Genomic DNA, 17,890 nt, shown 5'->3' with positions numbered 1-17,890 from the left:
CCTGCAGAGAACGTGGCTATTCCTCCAGGCTCAAAACTAGTTTTATCTTTAAATAAACCAAACAGACCATCTGGGTTAATTTAAGCTTCCAGCATGAATATTGAGCGCTAGAATGGAACTCTCCCAATTCTTGGATTTGGTGGCGGGGGCGGGGGGGGGGGTCTTTCCTTTCTACCCATTCGCCCTAAAATGAGGTCTACCGGGCAAAAGACTCCATCTACGCGCCCAGAGATCTTAGTCCAATTTCCACTCAGGAGAGAGGTGAGCCAAGACACTACTGTGTCTTGTCTCCCCATTCTTTCCTTGTCAGAATAGGAAAGCTTATTTTGGTTATTCTGCCCTACTCCATCCTGTTCCTCTTCCACAAATGCAGTTGGAGGGGAAAGGGAGGACAGATAACCCTTTGGTGCACAGTCACTAGACCTAAGAAGGAGACTACTGGGCATTAAACTGTGATGCTGAACTCTGAGCCACTCACAATAGTAGTAACTGGATGGGGCTTCATGCTGCCTCACTTAGGGAGGAAGTGTTATGTTCTGCAAGCCAGAGGGGAAAGGACCGGATCAAGCCAACACAGTTGGAAACCCTCTGCAGTTAACATTTTCCTGGGAAGACATACACGGATTGTTAATACACAAACTTCACAGAATGCATGTAATCCTCAACATGATGGTTTCAATGTTTATATGAAAAAAATGTACATTTTGTCTCAAAATTTACTCAACATTTTTAACAAAGAAACATGTAGGAAAAGTTTCATGTTGAATTTCAAATAACACTGGAAGAACGTCAGAATCATTACTCATTTTGGTAAGTATGTCAAATCTCAAAAGAGATATGTAGTCTCCAAAGCAATTTCTTTCATTCTAAACCTTGGTCCACCAAGGTTGGCCATCATAGGAAGATTAAAGTTTGCGAGTTCAGGGAGCTCCACAGGAACACCAACACTAAGGCGACCTCATTACCAAGTGTGACCATCTGCCTAATATGAACTCCATTACTAGGGGGGCCATATAATATATCACCCAAACTGGGTCACTTGAGAGCAAAAGAGTATGTCACCCAACTCACCCACGTTATCACTTTCTACACTCACTGACAATGGCTGCTTCAACCCTCTCCTTGATAATACAGTTCATTAAAGTAGTTCTTGAATTACTGAGGATCCCAATAGTTGTTTATGTAGATTATATCTACAGAAGAAATTAAAACCAAGAAGTTTCTAAAATACAAGAATACCCAAGTGTGGCAGTTCCCCAAAAATTAAACAGAATTACCATATGATCCAGCAATCCAGTTCTTCTGGGTATATACCCAAAAGAACTGAAAGCAGGCGGGGGCGTGGTGGCTCATGCCTATGATCCCAGCAGTTTGAGAAGTCAAGGTGGGCGGATCACTTGAGGCCAGCAGTTCAAGACCAGCCTGGCCAACATGGGAAAACCCTGTCTCTACAAAAAATACAAAAATTAGCAGAGCATGGTGGCACAGTCCTGAAGTCCCAGCTACTCGGGAGGCTAAGGCACAAAAATCGCTTGAACCCAGGAGGCAGAGGTTGTAGTAAGCCAAGATCATGCCACTGCACTCCAGCCTGGATGACAGAGCAAGACTCTGTCTCAAAAAAAAAAAAAAAGAAGAAGAAGAAAAAGAAAAAGAACTGAAAGCAGAGACTCAAACAGATATTTGTACACTCATGTTCCTAGCAGCATTATTCACAGCACTCCAGCCTGGATGACAGAGCAAGACTCTGTCTCAAAAAAAAAAAAAAAAAGAAGAAGAAGAAGAAGAAAAAGAAAAAGAACTGAAAGCAGAGACTCAAACAGATATTTGTACACTCATGTTCCTAGCAGCATTATTCACAATTTGGATTGTTTGAAGTTTGGGGCTACTACAAAGAACACTGCTTTGAATGTTCTGGAACTTGACTTTCAGTGAATACATGTACAGATTTCTACTGGGCAATCACCTAAGAGTGGAACTGCTTGGTCACAAAGTCTGTGTATATTTAGCTTTAGTAAATATTGTCAAGCAGTTTTCCAGAATGATTGTGCCAATCTATACTCCCTCAAGCAGTCTATGAAAGGTCCTCTTGCTCCATATACTTGCCAACCGTCAAAGTTTTCATTCTTTTTAATTTTAGCCAATCTAGTGGGTGTGCAGTTGTATCTTATCGAGGGTTTTAATTTTGCACCTCTCAGATGGCTAATGATACTAGGCATCTTTTCATGTTTATTGATCATCTGAAGTGCCCATTTTTGGCTGGGCATGGTAGCTCACACCAATAATACCAGCACTGTGGGAGGCTGAGGCAGGAGGAATGCTTGAGCCCAGGAGTTCAAGACCAGCCTGGTCAACATAGTGAGACTCTGTTTCTACAAAAAAATACAAAAATTAGCCAGACATGGTGGTGTTTGCCTGTATTTCCAGCTATTAGGGAGGCAAAGGCAGGAGGATCCCTTGATCCCAGCAGTTTGAGGCTTTGGTGAGCCACTGCACTCCAACCGGGCAACAGAGTGAGAACCTGTCTCAAAAAAAATAAAAAAACAAAGTGCCCATTTTTCTACTGAGTTGTCTTTTTATATACATTTATTTTGAAGTAATTATTTATAGATTCTAGAAATTAGCCCTGCATCAGATACATTTGTTATAAATATCTTCTCATTGCCTGTGGCCTTCCTTTTCACTCTTAATACTGTGGTTCAATAAACATAAGTTCTTAATTTTAATGTTGCTCAATTTACCAACAGTTTCTTTTATGGTTAGTGCTTTTTATACAGGAGGAATATACATCACCATGCCAATATCACACCTAAAAAATTAACAATTCCTTTATTTTAAATATCCAATATTCAAATTTACCCAATAACTTCAATTCTTTCTCTTTATTGCAGTTTGATTGGATCAGGATCCAAATTAGATCCAGAAATCATTAATATGCCTTAAGTTTTTTTTTTTAGATGGAGTCTTGCTCTGTTACCCAGGTCGGAATGCAGTGGCGTGATCTTGGCTCACTGCAACCTCCACCTCCTGGGTTCAAGCGATTATCCTGCCTCAACCTCCCGAGCAGCTGGGATTACAGGCATGCACCATCATGCCAGGCTAATTTTTCTATTTTTAGTAGAGATGGGGTTTCACCATGCTGGCCAGGGTGGTCTCAAACTCCTGACCTCAATTGACCCACCTGCCTCAGCCTCCCAAAGTGCTGGGATTATGGATGTGAGCCACCGCACTCGGCCTTAAATATTTTATTTAGGAGATAGGGTCTCACTCTATTGCTCAGGCTTGTCTTGAACTCCTGGCCTCAAGCCATCCTCCCACCTCAGCCTTTAGAGCGCTGGAATTACAGGCACAAGTGAACCAGCACCTAAAGTCTTTTAATCTATATGTTTTACCTTTCATATCTATCTCTATCACTCCCCACTCTTCCATGTTTTTTGAAATCAGAGAGAGTAGTGTGTGAAAGTGGTAAAACTCAAACTCGTTTTTTTTCCCTCTGTTCTCACACTGTAACAACAATCACAGAAGACTTCTGTGACCAAATGTTTTGGATGTCTCCCCACACACTCAACAAGCAATCAATTCTGCAGCGGACAGTAGCTGGGTACCATCCAATTCAATTCACTTCAGCCACTATTTGCCTAGAGATAGCTTCAGAAACCACAGGTTGAGAGCTCAGTCCCACATGACCACCCCCTCTTTTCCATCAGTTGTAGATCTGAGGCTCAAGAATTTCTGATCTACCAGTTTCAAGCTGGAGTCCCCATCACCCCCCACCCAATACAATATTGTATATTGGATACAAATATACAATATTTGCATATTGGATACAAATATACAGCCAGATGAAGAGATATATAGGGAGAGGTCTGGAAGAGTCCCCATTGCAAGAGCTTCGGAGTCTCCAGTGCAAGAGCTTCTGTCCCAGTGGAGCTGGGGTGCACCACCCCCCCAGCATGTGTTCACCTTCCTGTAAGCCTCCACATGTTCAGCTACTCAGGAGTTCCCTGAACCCTGTCCTCTAAAGCCTTTTATAGAGACTTCATTAGATGCACACATTGCATGGACAACCATGCAGAAATGTGACTAAACAAAAAGGATACTATCTAATACTAATAGACTAAGTGGGGAAACCCAGCAAGGCCTGTCTGTTCAGATTCTTCTTAGCCTCCCTGTGCAGCAGTCTTTCCTCCAGGATATAGGGTTTTGAAATGAGGGTCTTATAGCAATCAAACAAGGAAAGCCAGATAATTTTTTATGGCCAGCTCCAAGATAGAAAGGCAGGAGAAGATTCCTGCCTTGGGGAGAGAAAGGAGCAGGAGAAAGGGGAGGAGGAGATGGTCAGAGAGGGAGATTTTATTTTTGGAGGCCTGCTTCTGAGTTTCCAAGTGCCCCAAAGTTATAACAAGAGACTTTAATAAGGGCTTTCAGAATTATAAGCCAGGAAATCACAGACATGGAAAAAGAAATTTACACACACACACTTATTTACTAAAGCAACCAGGTCCATGTGATCTTCAGTCTCTTGAATTTCCTATAAACCAGCACTTAGAACTAGAGTCTTGATCAAGCTCAAATATGATTTTATGACAAGATTTCTCCATCAGGAGGTACATAGTATTTGGTTGTTTCTGTGATGGTAGCAGCATTGATGATTACTGCCTCATTCTATCAATTCATTGGGGATTGGAAATTTTAAGTATTTTAATTATATCACTTCATCATCTATTCTATGAAGAGAAACTTTCCCTAATCAACTACTTGAGCTCTAAGACACAATTTGTAAAGGAAAGAAATGATAATGCCTCGGAACAACCCTATAAGGTTGATAGTATTCTCAGCCCTATTGTTCAGGTGAGAAAACAGACACAACTTAATGATTGAACTAGGCTATAAACCAAGGAGTCCAACTCCTGAGTTTATGATTGTAATCAGTAGACTAAAATGCCTCTGCTAAAATCAAGAAACAAGTGAATACTCAGTATTACTCTGCAGGGAGGAGAGATCACAAAGACAGGCATTCAGAGTGGCTACAAATTTACTGCAGAAGGGAATATATTAATTGTATCAAAACCTAAACAAAGTACATCCCTTTGAGTCAGCAGTTCCAAACAAAGGCACTTATCTAAGAATACCATACTGCAGCATTACTTACAATAGCAAAAACCTTAAAACAACTTAAATGCCTGCTTGGTTCAATAAGGTGAGATACAGCCACAAAATGAAAATGGCACATCAATAAAAATGATGCTATATCAACAGAATAAAGGACAAAAACCATATGATCATTTCAATTGATGCTGGCCGGGTGCAGCGGTTCACGCCTGTAATCCCAGCACGTTGGGAACCCAAGGTGGGCAGATCGCCTGACGTCAGGAGTTCAAGACCAGCCTCGCCAACATGGCAAAACCCTGTCTCTACTAAAAAATACCAAAAATTAGCTGGGCGTGGTGGCAGGCGCCTGTAATCCCAGCTACTCGTGAGGCTGAGGCAGGGAGAACTGCTTGAACCCGGGAGGTGGAGGTTGCAGCGAGCTGAGATCGTGCCACTGCACTCCAGCCTGGGCAATAGAGTGAGACTCCATCTCAAAAAAAAAAAAAAAAAGGATGCTGAAAAAGCACTTGTAAAATTCAACAACGGTTCACAATAAAAACTCTCAATAAATTAAGTACAGAAGGAACCTACCTCAACATAATAAAGGCCATATATGACAAACCCAAGGCTAACATCATACTGAATAGGCAAAAGCTGAAAGCCTTCCTCTAAGCACTAGAAGACAAGGATGTCCACTTTCACCAATCTTATTCAACATAGTATTGGAAATCATAGCCAGGGAAATTAGGCAAGAGAAAGAAATAAAGAGCATCCAAATTAGAAAGGAAGAAGTCAGACTATCCTTCTTTGCAAATGGCATGGTCTCACATATAGAAAAACTGAAAAACACCAAAAAACTCTTGGAACTGATAAACTAATTCACTAAAGTTGTAGGACACAAAAACAACATACAAAAATCAGTAGCATTTCTTTTTTTGTTTGTTTTTGATACAGAGTCTTGGCTCTGTTGCCTAGGCTGGAGTGCTATGGCATGATCTCGGCTCACTTACAGCCTCCACCTCCCAAGTTCTAGCAATGCAATTCTAGCAAATCCAAGTTCTAGCCTCAGCCACCCAAGTAGCTAGGATTACAGGTGCAGGCTCCCACACCGGGCTAATTTTTGTACTTTTAGCAAAGATGAGGTTTCACCATTTTGGCCAGGCTGGTTTCGAACTCCTGGCCTCAAGTGATCCACCCACCTTGGCCTCCCAAAGTGCTGGGATTACAGGCATGAGCCACCACGCCCAGCCTGTGTGTCTGTTTTTATGCCAATACCATGTTGTTTTGGTTGCGATAGCTTCACAGTACATTTTGAAATCAGGTAGTGTGATGTCTCCAGCTTTGTTCTTTTTGCTTGGGATCACTTTGGCTATTTGGGATCTTTTGTGATCCCATACAGATTTCAGGATTTAAAAAATATCTGTGAATCTGCACATTGTTTTAGGTAGTACGGTCATTTTAACCATACTGCAGTGCAGTGGTGCGATCTTGGCTCACTGCAACCTCCACCTCCCAGATTCAAGCGATTCTCCTGCCTCAGCCTCCCAGGTAATCCCAGCATTTTGGGAGGCTAAGGCATGTGGATCACCTGAGGTCAGGAATTCGACACCAGCCTGGCCAGTGTGGTGAAACCCTGTCTCTACTAAAAATACAAAAATTTGCTGGGCATGGTGGTGCATGCCTGTAATCCCAGTTACTTGGGAGGCTGAGGCAGGAGAATGGCTTGAATCTGGAGGGCAGAGGTTGCAGTGAGCCAAAATGGCGCCATTGCACTCCAGCCTGGGTGACAAGAGCAAAACTCCATCTCAAAAATAAATAAAATTAATTAACAAATTAAATTAAATTAAAACAGACACCCAGACAAATAGAACAGAACTGAGAACTCAGAAATAAATCTATGCATTTACAGTCAACTCATTTTCCACAAAGGAACCAAGAACACACATTGGGAAAAGGACAGCCTCTTCAATAAATGGTGCTGTGAAAACTGGATATCTATATGCCAAAGAGTGAAACTAGAACCCTATCCTATCTCTCTCCATATACAAAAATCAACTCGAGGCTGGGTATGGTGGCTCATGTGTAATCCCAGCACTTTAGGAGGCTGAGGAAAGAGGATCACTTGAGGCCAGGAGTTCGAGACCAGCCTGAGCAACACAGCATGATCCTGTTTCTACAAAAAAAAAAAAAAAATTTAAAGAAATGATAAATGTGGCCAGGCGCGGTGGCTCATGCCTGTAATCCCAGCACTTTGGGAAGCTGAGACATGCGCATCACGAGGTCAGGAGATCAAGACCATCCTGGCTAACATAGCGAAACCCCATCTCTACTAAAAATATGCAAATTAGCTGGGCATGGTGGCGGGTGCCTGTAGTCCCAGCTACTCGGGAGGCTGAGGCAGGAGAATGTCGTGAACCCGGGAGTCGGAGCTTGGAGTGAGCCGAGATCGTGCCACTGTACTCCAGCCTGGGCGACAGAGCGAGACTCCGTCTCAAAAAAAAAACAAAAAAGAAATGATAAATGTTTGAGGTTATGGTAGTGCAGTGGGCTACACTGCAGCCTCAAACTCCTGGGCTCAAGTGATCCTCCTGCCCCAGCCTCCCATGTAGCTGGGACTACAGGCGTGCACCACCACGCCCAGCAAATTTTAAAAAATATTTTTGTAGAGACCTACTTCTGTAATTTTTAATAATACATGCTTACGTCTCTTCTAGCCAGAGATGCTCTGAGATAATTTTTGAAAAAATAAGACTTAAATAGGTAGAAAGGTCAGGTGTGGTGGCTCATGTCTGTAATCTCAGCACTTTGGGAGGCCAAGGCGGGCAGATCACTTGAGGTCAGGCCTTCGACACCAGCCTGGCTAACATGGTGAAACCCAACTCTACTAAAAATACAAAAATTAGCCAAGTGTGGTAGCAAGCACCTGTTGTCCCAGCTACTAGGGAGGCTGAGGCAGGAGAATTGCTTGAACCTGGGAGGCGGAGGCTGCAGTGAGCCGAGATCACGCTACTGCACTCCAGCCTGGGCGACAGGGCGAGACTCCATCTCAAAAAAAAAAAAAGGGTAGAAATGAGGGAGGGTGACAGAAAGAACACATTTCAGAGGTAGGAAAGAGCAAGAATCAAGATCCATGACACAGAGGCACCAAGCAGGGAGAAAGGCCAGTTAAGAGAGAAGGCTACATAAAAAAGAATAAAATCATATCCTTTGTGGCAACATGGATGCAGCTAGGGGTCATTATCCTAAGCAAATTAATGCAAGAAGAGAAAACCAAACACTACATGTTCTCACTTGCAGAGTGAACTGGGAGCTACACATGGACACAAAGAGGGGAACAAGAGACACCAGGGCTTGAGGGTGGAGAGTGGGAGGCTGGTGAGGATTGAAAAACTACCCATCTAGTACTATGCTCACTACCTAGGTGACAAAATCATTTGTACACCAAACCTCAGCAATGTGCAATTTGCCCGTGTACCAAACCTGCACATGTATCCCCTGAACCTAAAACAAGAATTGGAAGGAAATGAGAGACAGAAGACTACAAAGGATCTTAAAGTTTAAGCATTATGAAAAAGAGCCAGAATTCTATCACTCCACCCCACCCCCCCAATAATTATTAGGGCAGTTTCAGAACTCCTGAAAGATACAAAGAACAAGATGGATTAGGAGGGACCTAGAGCAAATCCTAACAGGAGGGAGCTCAATTCACAGGGTTTACAATAAGGCAAGCAATAAATCCTGAAATTTGGGAAATCTCAAAGAGTAAAAGACAGATAAGGATTCCAGGAGAGGTAAGGAATTCGGATTTAGGATACTGCAGGCATTTACAATACTGCAGTCCTGAAATGTTGAAGTCTCCAAGAGCAACAAACAGACAACAAACAACAAACAGATAAGGATTCCAAGTCACACCTGGTTAGAATCTGCATCCTGCCCTGGGCACGGGAACAAAGGAATAGGAGATTTCAAGCCTGAGTAACCGAGTCATCTGGGATTTTATCGCAGAAGAAAGAAACTGAAGGAGGGTGGTAAGAGTAGAATGAGAGAATTCAGATTTGAGACAAAGTCAGTTTGTGTGGACTGAAGGGCATGCACCTAGGAATGTCTTGTAGACCACTGAAACCACAGGACTAGCCAGGCATGGACTGTGGAGATATGGCTCTGAGAGTTGCCCACTCAGGGGTTCGGTGTCAATGGCAGACATCCTCTCCACATCAGAGACCCAGGGGCAGAGAGTGTTGCCCGTAAATCCCAAGTCCCAGGAACTCTCAAAACCTCAGCAAAGTCTTTACAGAGAAGCCCCAAGCTGGCCCTATGGAGACCTTAATACAAAGGAGCTTCTGCCAAAGACAACAAATCAAAAAGATGTCTGACTTTGGTAGGACAGGTCAGGTCCTTCCACACAGACAGCAGTGCTCATGAGAACCACAGTGTGGCATGAGGCTGTCCCTGGGGAGAGGCAGGCGGGAGAAAGGAAACTTCACAGAATACCCTTTGCTGCCTACAAATTCTGCACCACAGACTGCCTACTCAAAATAACACCATAAAGTTTAACTTTCTTCAAAAGGTCAGTCAACTTAGTGGGCTCAATGCCATCCCTACTGTTGGGGCAAACAACATGAGAACAAATATCAGTGACTGGCATAGGAAGCTGCCCGGTGGGGACCATACGTGGGGGTGGGGAGGGGGTGCCTCACTATTACCCCAGCCAAGTAACCACCACATGACAAGACTTGGAAGGCAGGAACCCTGCCCAGTGCCAGGAACAAATTAGCATTCTTTCAAGGAGACTTTGGCAAAATTAATAGTGAAGAGTCAGTGTCCGTCTCTTTTCTGAACCAGAGGCAGTATGACACACAAACAGCTGTACTTTTTCACCCCCAACAGCCTCTAGTGCCAGTCCAGAAGGGCTGGGAGACCTTAACAACATAGAATGTAGCTTAACAAACTGTGGAGAGGAATCTCCTCCACCTACGTGGATCCTAGAAAAGATGGAAAAGTGTGAAAACCAGAAACAGTAACACTCAAATCTTTTCAAACAGTTTAAAGGATGATTATCTGCCCTGTGAAATTAGTTACAATGGCCGGGCACGGTGGCTCACGCTGTACCAGCCCTTTGAGAGGCCGAGGCGAGAAGATCGCTTGAACCCAGGAGTTCAATGGTCAACATTTTAAGACCCTGTCTCTATTATAAAATAAGTATGTATATATTTATATATATAAATTCAAAAAAGAAATTAGTTACAAGATTCATTTTAAAAAGAGTTTCTCAAATATATTCAAGATTATATAATTTCTGGCAGTTGTAAGGTTGAGAATAAAGTGAGGGAGGAGAAATGCTTTACATTAGTAGGACAGTGCAGGTTTTATACAATCTTCTTGTTTATCAAACATATTCTGAATGATTTTATCAAGTATTATGTTCCCATATCCATCAGCTGTTAGACTCTCATGCTCATTTTCTACCTTACCAATTTAAATATGCAGTCGGCTGGGTACGGTGGCTCATGCCTGTAATCCCAGCATTGTAGAAGGCCAAGGCAGGCAGATCACCTGAAGTCAGGAATTTGAGACCAGCCTGGCCAACATGGTGAAACCCTGTCTCTACTAAAAATATAAAAATTAGCTGGGTGTGATGGTGGGCGCCTGTAATCCCAGCTACTCGGGAGGCTGAGGCAGGAGAATCACTTGAACTCGGGAGGCAGAGGTTGCAGTGAGCTGAGATCACGCCATTGGACTCCAGCCTGGGCAACAAGAGAGAAACTCCATCTCAAAAAATAAATAGATAAATAAAAATAAAACTCTTAAATATTATTGATTTAAAAAAGATTGTATTATTTCTTTAAATCAGTAGGGAAAAAATTGATTATGTGGAGTCAAAACAGGCAATAAAATTCTGAATAATATCCTTATGAACACTGATAACACCAGCCCCTCTCAGAAATACAGACACCGTCCATAGCAGACCCTACAGTCAGTGAATGTTCTAAAGAGAAGCGTTGAATACTGAATGACTGCTTATTACTAGAACAAATGGTTCTCATGCTAACAGTCATTAACTGGAAAGCATTTCTTCCAAGCACCCTCACCCACTGCCTGGGTAAGGCGCCTTGTGGTCTTCAAGCACTGCGCCGGGAGTGCCTTTCAAGGATACCAGAGTGGCCACTCCCAGGAAAGTGCTCACAAATGTCTAAATCACAGTCATCCGATAACCAGGAAAACTGAAACTAATCAACTTTCTCTATAAAACACATACATTTTTTTCTGCAAAGAGTCTCCACATTTACTCTGAGACCTTTTTAACATTTAACATTTTGAAAGATTTATATAGTATTTTTTTGATTTTGTAGCCAAATAAGAAAAATAGGTAACATTTGGGTATCATATCTATCAATGTTAATCAATAAAGAAGCTTTTAAAGTCTGTAAATTAATTCTATGAGAAAAAAATAAAAAACAACAACCGGGAATTAGAAGACCTTCATAGGCCAGGCGCGGTGGCTCACGCCTGTAATCCCATCACTTTGGTAGGCCAAGGCGGGAGTATCACCTGAGGTCAGGAGTTCGAGACCAGCCTGACCAACATGGAGAAACCCCATCTCTACTAAAAATACAAAATTAGCTGGGCGTGGTGGCATGCCCGTAATCCCAGTTACTCAGGAGGCTGAGGCAGGAGAATTGCTTGAACCCAGGAGGCAGAGGTTGCGGTCAGCTGAGATTATACCATTACACTCCAGCCTGGGCCAACAACAGCGAAACTTCGTCTCAAAAAATAAATAAATAGAAGACCTTCATAATACGAACCATTCTGTATCTAACCAACTAAGTCATCTTGAGCTAATAACTTAAACTCTCTGAGCTGTGGCATCCTCTTCTATAAAATAACTACCTCAAGCCGGGTGCCATGGCTCAGGCCTGTAGTCCTGAGCTACTCAGGAGACTGAGGTAGGAGGATGGCTTGAGCTCAGGAGTTTAAAGCTGTAGTGAGCTATGACTGTGCCACTACACTCCAGCCTGGGCAACAAGGTGAGACCCTGTTCCTAAAAATAAAAAACACCTTTAAAGTCCCTTCTAGTCCTAACAACCAAGGAGAGCAATTTAACATTTTTTAAAGATGATAAAAATTCTTTTTTTTTGAGATGAAGTCTCGCTCTGTCCTCCTGGCTGGAGTGCAGTGGTGGGATCTCGGCTCACTGCAAGCTCCGCCTCCCGGGTTCACGCCATCACGCCATTCTCCTCAGCCTCCTGAGTAGCTGGGACTACGGGCGCCACCACACCCAGCTAATTTTTTTTTTTTTTTGTAGTAGAGAAGGGGTTTTGCCGTCTTAGCCAGGATGGTCTCAATGTCCTGACCTCGTGATCCGCCCGCCTCAGCCTCCCAAAGTGCTGGGATTACAGGCGTGAGCCACCGCGCCCGGCCGATAAAAATTCTTCTAATGAAATACCATGTTAACCTGGGCAAACACAAAACATTTTTTAAAAATAGATTTTGGAAAAACTAATTTTAAATAGTCAAAAATCATGCAGTAATTGAGTTTTTAAAATAAAATCATACTGTTTGAGCAACAAAAATAAGAAACATAAAATAATTGGTTATATGAGAAAATAATCTTTCACCTCCTCTCCCTGTTAAGCCTGGGAATCATAGTTAAGGTTTACTGATTTTTTTAATTCCTAAATTATTTCTCAACATAAAAAAATTTTCTTGAAAAAAATTAAGCATTTCTCTTATACCTGAAGTAGTTATAGTTCTTTAATATTTTATTTGAGTAGTTCAATCTCAAAGTCTATTGAAAACCATTTTTAATTATAAAAGAAGGTAATTGCATACAACAGTGTTCAGTGGTCCTTCTACAGTTAAAGCCTGTGATTCGGAGTACTGAAAAATTCCACAAGAAAATAAACCAAAAAGAGGCCGGGCGCGGTGGCTCACGCCTGTAATCCCAGCACTTCAGGAGGCCAAGGCGGGTGGATCACCTGAGGTCAGGAGTTTGAGACCAGCCTGACCAACATGGTGAAACTTTGTCTCTACTAAAAATAAAAATATTAGTTGGGCGTGGAGGTATGTGACTGTAATCTCAGCTACTCGGGAGGCTGAGATGGGAGAATCACTTGAACCCAGGAGGCAGAGGCTGCAGTGAGCCAAGAACACATCAATGCACTCTAGCCTGGGTGGCACAGCGAGACTCCATCTCAAAAAAAAAAAAATTAAAATTGAAAATAAACCGAAGATAGGTCATAGAAGGCTAAGTCCTTTCTATAAAACTTTCCTTAAAAGGTAATGAATATGAATAGGTTCTACAAATATATATAACTTGAAGATTTAATCACCTTTCAAGTGTGTAAGATGAATATTAAAGTTTTTTCTATAAAAATCTATTTTAATCAGTAGCAACATAGCTAACATATTATGTGACAAGCTCTGCTGTCAGCCCATACATACGTTTAATCCACATGAATATCCTGTAAAGCACATACAATTTTATGACCCCCATTTTAATGATGGACAAACTGAGGCTGCCACAACTTCCATGATCTACTCAAAGTTACACAGCCTTTATGTGGCGGAGCCCAGGCTCAAGGTAGATGTAACTGACCCAAGCCCCTGCTCTTACACGCTATCTTCAGTTAAGATTTAAACTCCCCTTTCTAAATGATGTCACTATTTCCTCTCCATATGGGTTTCATCTATCTAGAAAGGAAGCCTTGAAATAAGTAAAGCTCTAATTTAAATAGCACTTCAGCAATTAAGTAAAGCAGAAAACCCCAGAACCTATACGCTAACTTCCGAAACAAAATCTCCTGAAATGCCAACTCAATCATAAATTTTAAGATGCCAATCTTTCAGACCATATCTCATCCTTTGCTTTCCTAAGCTCCATCAGAAAAATATGGTTGGGTAGGAAGAGGATCATTCCCAAAGCCTAAACTCCAAGTTTCTTAGTTTGGCAACTATACTGTGCTTTGGGACTTTAAAATTATAAGCACAGTTCCCAGAGGAGAACATTTCCTTTATTAGCAATTGGCTTTGAAAATTCCATTCTCAGATGCTAAATATAACAAAATACCTTCTGACTTTTATAAATAAACATGCTCCAGATTATTTTGATACTAATGATTTTCTATTTACAAGACAGTTTTGCCACAGCAGTTAAGCAACTGTAACATTTTGAGGAATCTTTCAAGTTTACTCCAGAGCTTTTTTTTTTTTTTTTTTTAAGACAGAGTCTTGCTCTGTCGCCCAGGCTGGCGTGCAGTGGCGCCATCTCGGCTCACTGCAAGCTCCGCCTCCCAGGTTCACGCCATTCTCCTGCCTCTCAGCCTTCCGAGTAGCTGGGACTACAGGCGCCCACCACCACGCCCGGCTAATTTTTTGTATTTTTAGTAGAGATGGGGTTTCACCATGTTAGCCAGGATGGTCTCGATCTCCTAACCTCGTGATCCACCCGCCTCGTCCTCCCAAAGTGCTGGGATTACAGGCGTGAGCTACCACGCCCAGCCTCCAGAGCTTTTCTTTTCTTTTAAGACGTTGTTTGGCTCTTGTTGCCCAGGCTGGATGGAGTGCAACGGCGCAATCTCGGCTCACCGGAACCTCTGCCTCCCAAGTTCAAGCGATTCTCCTGCCTCAGCCTCCTGAGTAGCTGGGATTACAGGCATGCACCACCACGCCCGGCTAATTTTGTATTTTTAGTAGAGACGGGGTTTCTACTAAAACCCCGTTGGTCAGGCTGGTCTCGAACTCCTGACCTCAGGTGATCTGCCCACCTCAGCCTCCCAAAGTGCTGGGATTACAGGCGTGAGCCACCGCGCCCAGCCTATTCCAGAGCTTTTAAAGCACTGACTTGAAAATTGTTCACTGGATTCTTCTACTATGAAATTAAAAAGTTCTTGTTTCATAATGCATTTCCTTAAAATTTATTATTTCTAATTTCCTTGGGTTCTAACACAAGAATATTGGCAAAGCCAAAGTCATGGAAGTAGGTGTTTCCCAAACTATGAAACAGAATAAATCAGGATTTTTTAAAAGTTTACTATGGGCCGGGCACGGTGGCTCACACCTGTAATCCCAGCACTTTGGGAGGCCAAAGTGGGTAGATCACCTGAGGTCAGGAGTTCGAGACCAACCTGGCCAACATGGTGAAACCTCGTCTCTACTAAAAACACAAAAAAATTAGCCAGTCGTGATGGCAGGCACCTGTAATCCCAGGTACTGGGGAAGCTAAGGCAGGAGAATTGCTTGAACACGGGAGGTGGAGGTTGCAGTGAGCCGAGATTGTGCCATTGCACTCCAGCCTGGGCAACAAGAGCGAAACTCTGTCTCAAAAAAAAACAAAAAAACAAACCAACAAACAAAAGTTTACTATATACATTCAAAGACAAATAATAGATTTCACAGTTTTTAAAATGTTCCCTTATTAAAAATCCCAAACATGGCCAGGTGTGGTGGCTCACGTCTGTAGTCTCAGCACTTTGGGAGACCGAGGCGGGCAGATCACGAAGTCAGGAGTTCAAGACCAGCCTGGCCAATACAGTGAAACCCCATCTCTACTAAAAATACAAAAAAAAAAACGCCAGGTACAGTGGCTCATGCCTATAATCCCAGCACTTTGGGAAGCTGAGGCGGGAGGATCACCTAAGGTTGGGAGTTTGAGGCCAGCCTGACCAACATTGAGAAGCCGTGCCTCTACTAAAAATACAACATTAGCCGGGCATGGTAGCACACGCCTGCAGTCCCAGCTACTCGGGCGGCTGAGGCAGGAGAATTGCTTGAACCTGGGAGGTAGAGGTTGCGATGAGCCAACATCATGCCATTGCACTCCAGCCTGGGCAAAAGAGCGAAACTCCCTCTCAAAAAAAAAAAAAAAAATTAGCCGAGCGTGGTGGCGGATGCCTATAGTCCCAGCTACTCAGGAGGCTGAGGCAGGAGACTAGCTTGAACCTGGGAGGCAGAGGTTGCAGTGAGCTGAGATCGTGCCACTGCACTCCAGCCTGGGCGACAGAGAGAGACTCCGTCTAAAAAAATAATAATAATAAAATCCCATACATGACAATTCAGTGACAATTGAGAAGTTCTGAATAATGGGGTGAGGAACTGATTGTCTTGTTCTCGGTAATGAACATCAGGCTTTTAACAGAGTGCATAGCAGCTGTCTTTTAGGAAACAACACGCCACAAGTGGACCTCATGACCCCAGGCATTCTGTCACTGTATAAGTGATATAAGTGCACCTCTAGCTGGACAGCTCCTCAGGTCCTCCCAGTCTAAAGTACAGGATGTGAAAGTAAGACGGTTCAACTCGCACTTTATCTCTGGGGGATGGATCCAACGAGTCCGGGAAGGAGGGTAGAATCTTTATGTTGCATCTCATAATCCCAAGGTTGTTTTTTGACATTCTAATTATTGTACATAGTTAGCTTTTCAAAAACATGGCCCACCAGCTATCATGCCTTCTTTCTTCTCTCTCTCCTCACACCTTCTAGGTCCACAAAGTCCCACTAACATCAAGCATGATCTCACCCTTAAACAGAGCTACAGAGCCTCCAAACATCTGCATACTCACCAACTAGTAGTACAAGGTAAGTCAGAATTCTTTCAGGCTGAACCAGGATAGCCAAATGAAAAATTAGAGACTTCAAAGTATCTTGTCTCTGCAAGCGACTGCTAAATCCTCAGCCCCAGCCCTAAATGTTCTCCAAAATATGTTTTTGTTTTTGTTTTTTGAGACAGGGTCTCAAACTCCTGGGCTCAAGCGATCCTCCTGCCTCAGCCTCCCTAGAAGCTAGGATTACAGGCGAGCAGCACTGTGCCTGGCCAAAATATATGTTCTAAAAATCGGTAGGAACAGTTCTCTTTGGATAGTCCACTGTCAACTGCAATAACACGAAAGTTGTTTAAAAAAAACCCATGATCTCATTATCTTTCACCAAAAACATTCCTCCTAGTGTAACTGCTCTGTTGACATCCTGTCACCAAATCTTGTGCTTTCTTCCTTCTGGGTGTCTCCCTAATGTCCGTTGCGTCCAGTCATCAAAAAGTTACAGGCTGCATTAGGGGAAGCCGTGAGCCTGGTGTAAGGCAACAGGGATTGGTGGGAACCGATGATCCTCAGCTCCAGCCAACCATTGAGCAGGTGACAAAGTGATGGTGGACCCTCCAATTATCTAAGACAGGCAAGAAATTTAGATTGTTAGGAGAAACTTTCTGATTTTTAAGGCAATATGTGGGCCAAAGAAAACATCTACAGGTCACTCATGGGCAATCCCGAGTGAACCAGGCTCCCTCAGTCTGGTCCAGGCTCCCTCAGTCCCTTCTACACATCACTGTCTGATCAGTTTCCCAAACACAGGGCTCCTGATCACTGCTATCTCGGAAAGCACAACTACTGCTACAAAGTCCTATACTGCCATTCAACCTCCACAGTAATAAAACCAATCCCTACCTTCCTTAACTCCCCTACACAGATCTTTCACTTCACCCAAAGGAGTCCACTCCCCCACCCGTCACCCCCGCCACTGTCCCCGCCAAGATGGCCTCCTTCCTACTCTCCTCCCCTACCCACCAGAGCCCACACGGTGCAGGAAACAACCCATCAACCGGGAGGACGCCCTCCAACACCTGCTGATGACGGACTGGCTCACTGGGTAACACCCCTTTGCTCAAAGCCGATGATTTCATGCCCAAGAAGGGATTTACATCTCCCAGGAGGCAAATGCTATGGCCTTGTCCTGATTCCCCCACCCCCCAAAATAATAACATTGTAAAAGGGAACGGAGAGCCTAAGTTGCGCTCAGAGGAGCCGCCTC

The 17,890-nt window shown here is 43.3% G+C and overlaps 1 protein-coding gene across 2 annotated transcripts in view, besides 3 other annotated features; it reads right to left on the bottom strand.

Moving 5' to 3' along the window:
• CDS2 (CDP-diacylglycerol synthase 2) overlaps window positions 1–17,890 on the bottom strand; it is a 70,880-nt gene that overhangs the window by 52,490 nt on the left and 500 nt on the right. The gene's annotated exons all lie outside the window — the stretch shown is intronic.
• Window positions 11,828–12,327: an enhancer, noted in NCBI's record as "H3K4me1 hESC enhancer chr20:5113717-5114216 (GRCh37/hg19 assembly coordinates)". NCBI's record gives its function as "activates a minimal SCP1, AML or CMV promoter by ChIP-STARR-seq in primed H9 embryonic stem cells {active_cell/tissue: H9 hESC(primed)}" and the evidence as "EXISTENCE:reporter gene assay evidence [ECO:0000049][PMID:30033119]".
• Window positions 12,328–12,829: an enhancer, noted in NCBI's record as "H3K4me1 hESC enhancer chr20:5113215-5113716 (GRCh37/hg19 assembly coordinates)". NCBI's record gives its function as "activates a minimal SCP1, AML or CMV promoter by ChIP-STARR-seq in primed H9 embryonic stem cells {active_cell/tissue: H9 hESC(primed)}" and the evidence as "EXISTENCE:reporter gene assay evidence [ECO:0000049][PMID:30033119]".
• Window positions 17,552–17,641: an enhancer, noted in NCBI's record as "active region_17514". NCBI's record gives its function as "activates an Ori minimal core promoter by ATAC-STARR-seq in GM12878 lymphoblastoid cells {active_cell/tissue: GM12878}" and the evidence as "EXISTENCE:reporter gene assay evidence [ECO:0000049][PMID:35858748]".

This window comes from Homo sapiens, chromosome 20 (genome assembly GCF_000001405.40).
Source record: "Homo sapiens chromosome 20, GRCh38.p14 Primary Assembly".
Lineage (NCBI taxonomy): Eukaryota > Metazoa > Chordata > Mammalia > Primates > Hominidae > Homo > Homo sapiens.
The sequence above is the reverse complement of the archived record's forward strand: the minus strand, read 5'-3'. Positions and strand labels throughout refer to the sequence as shown.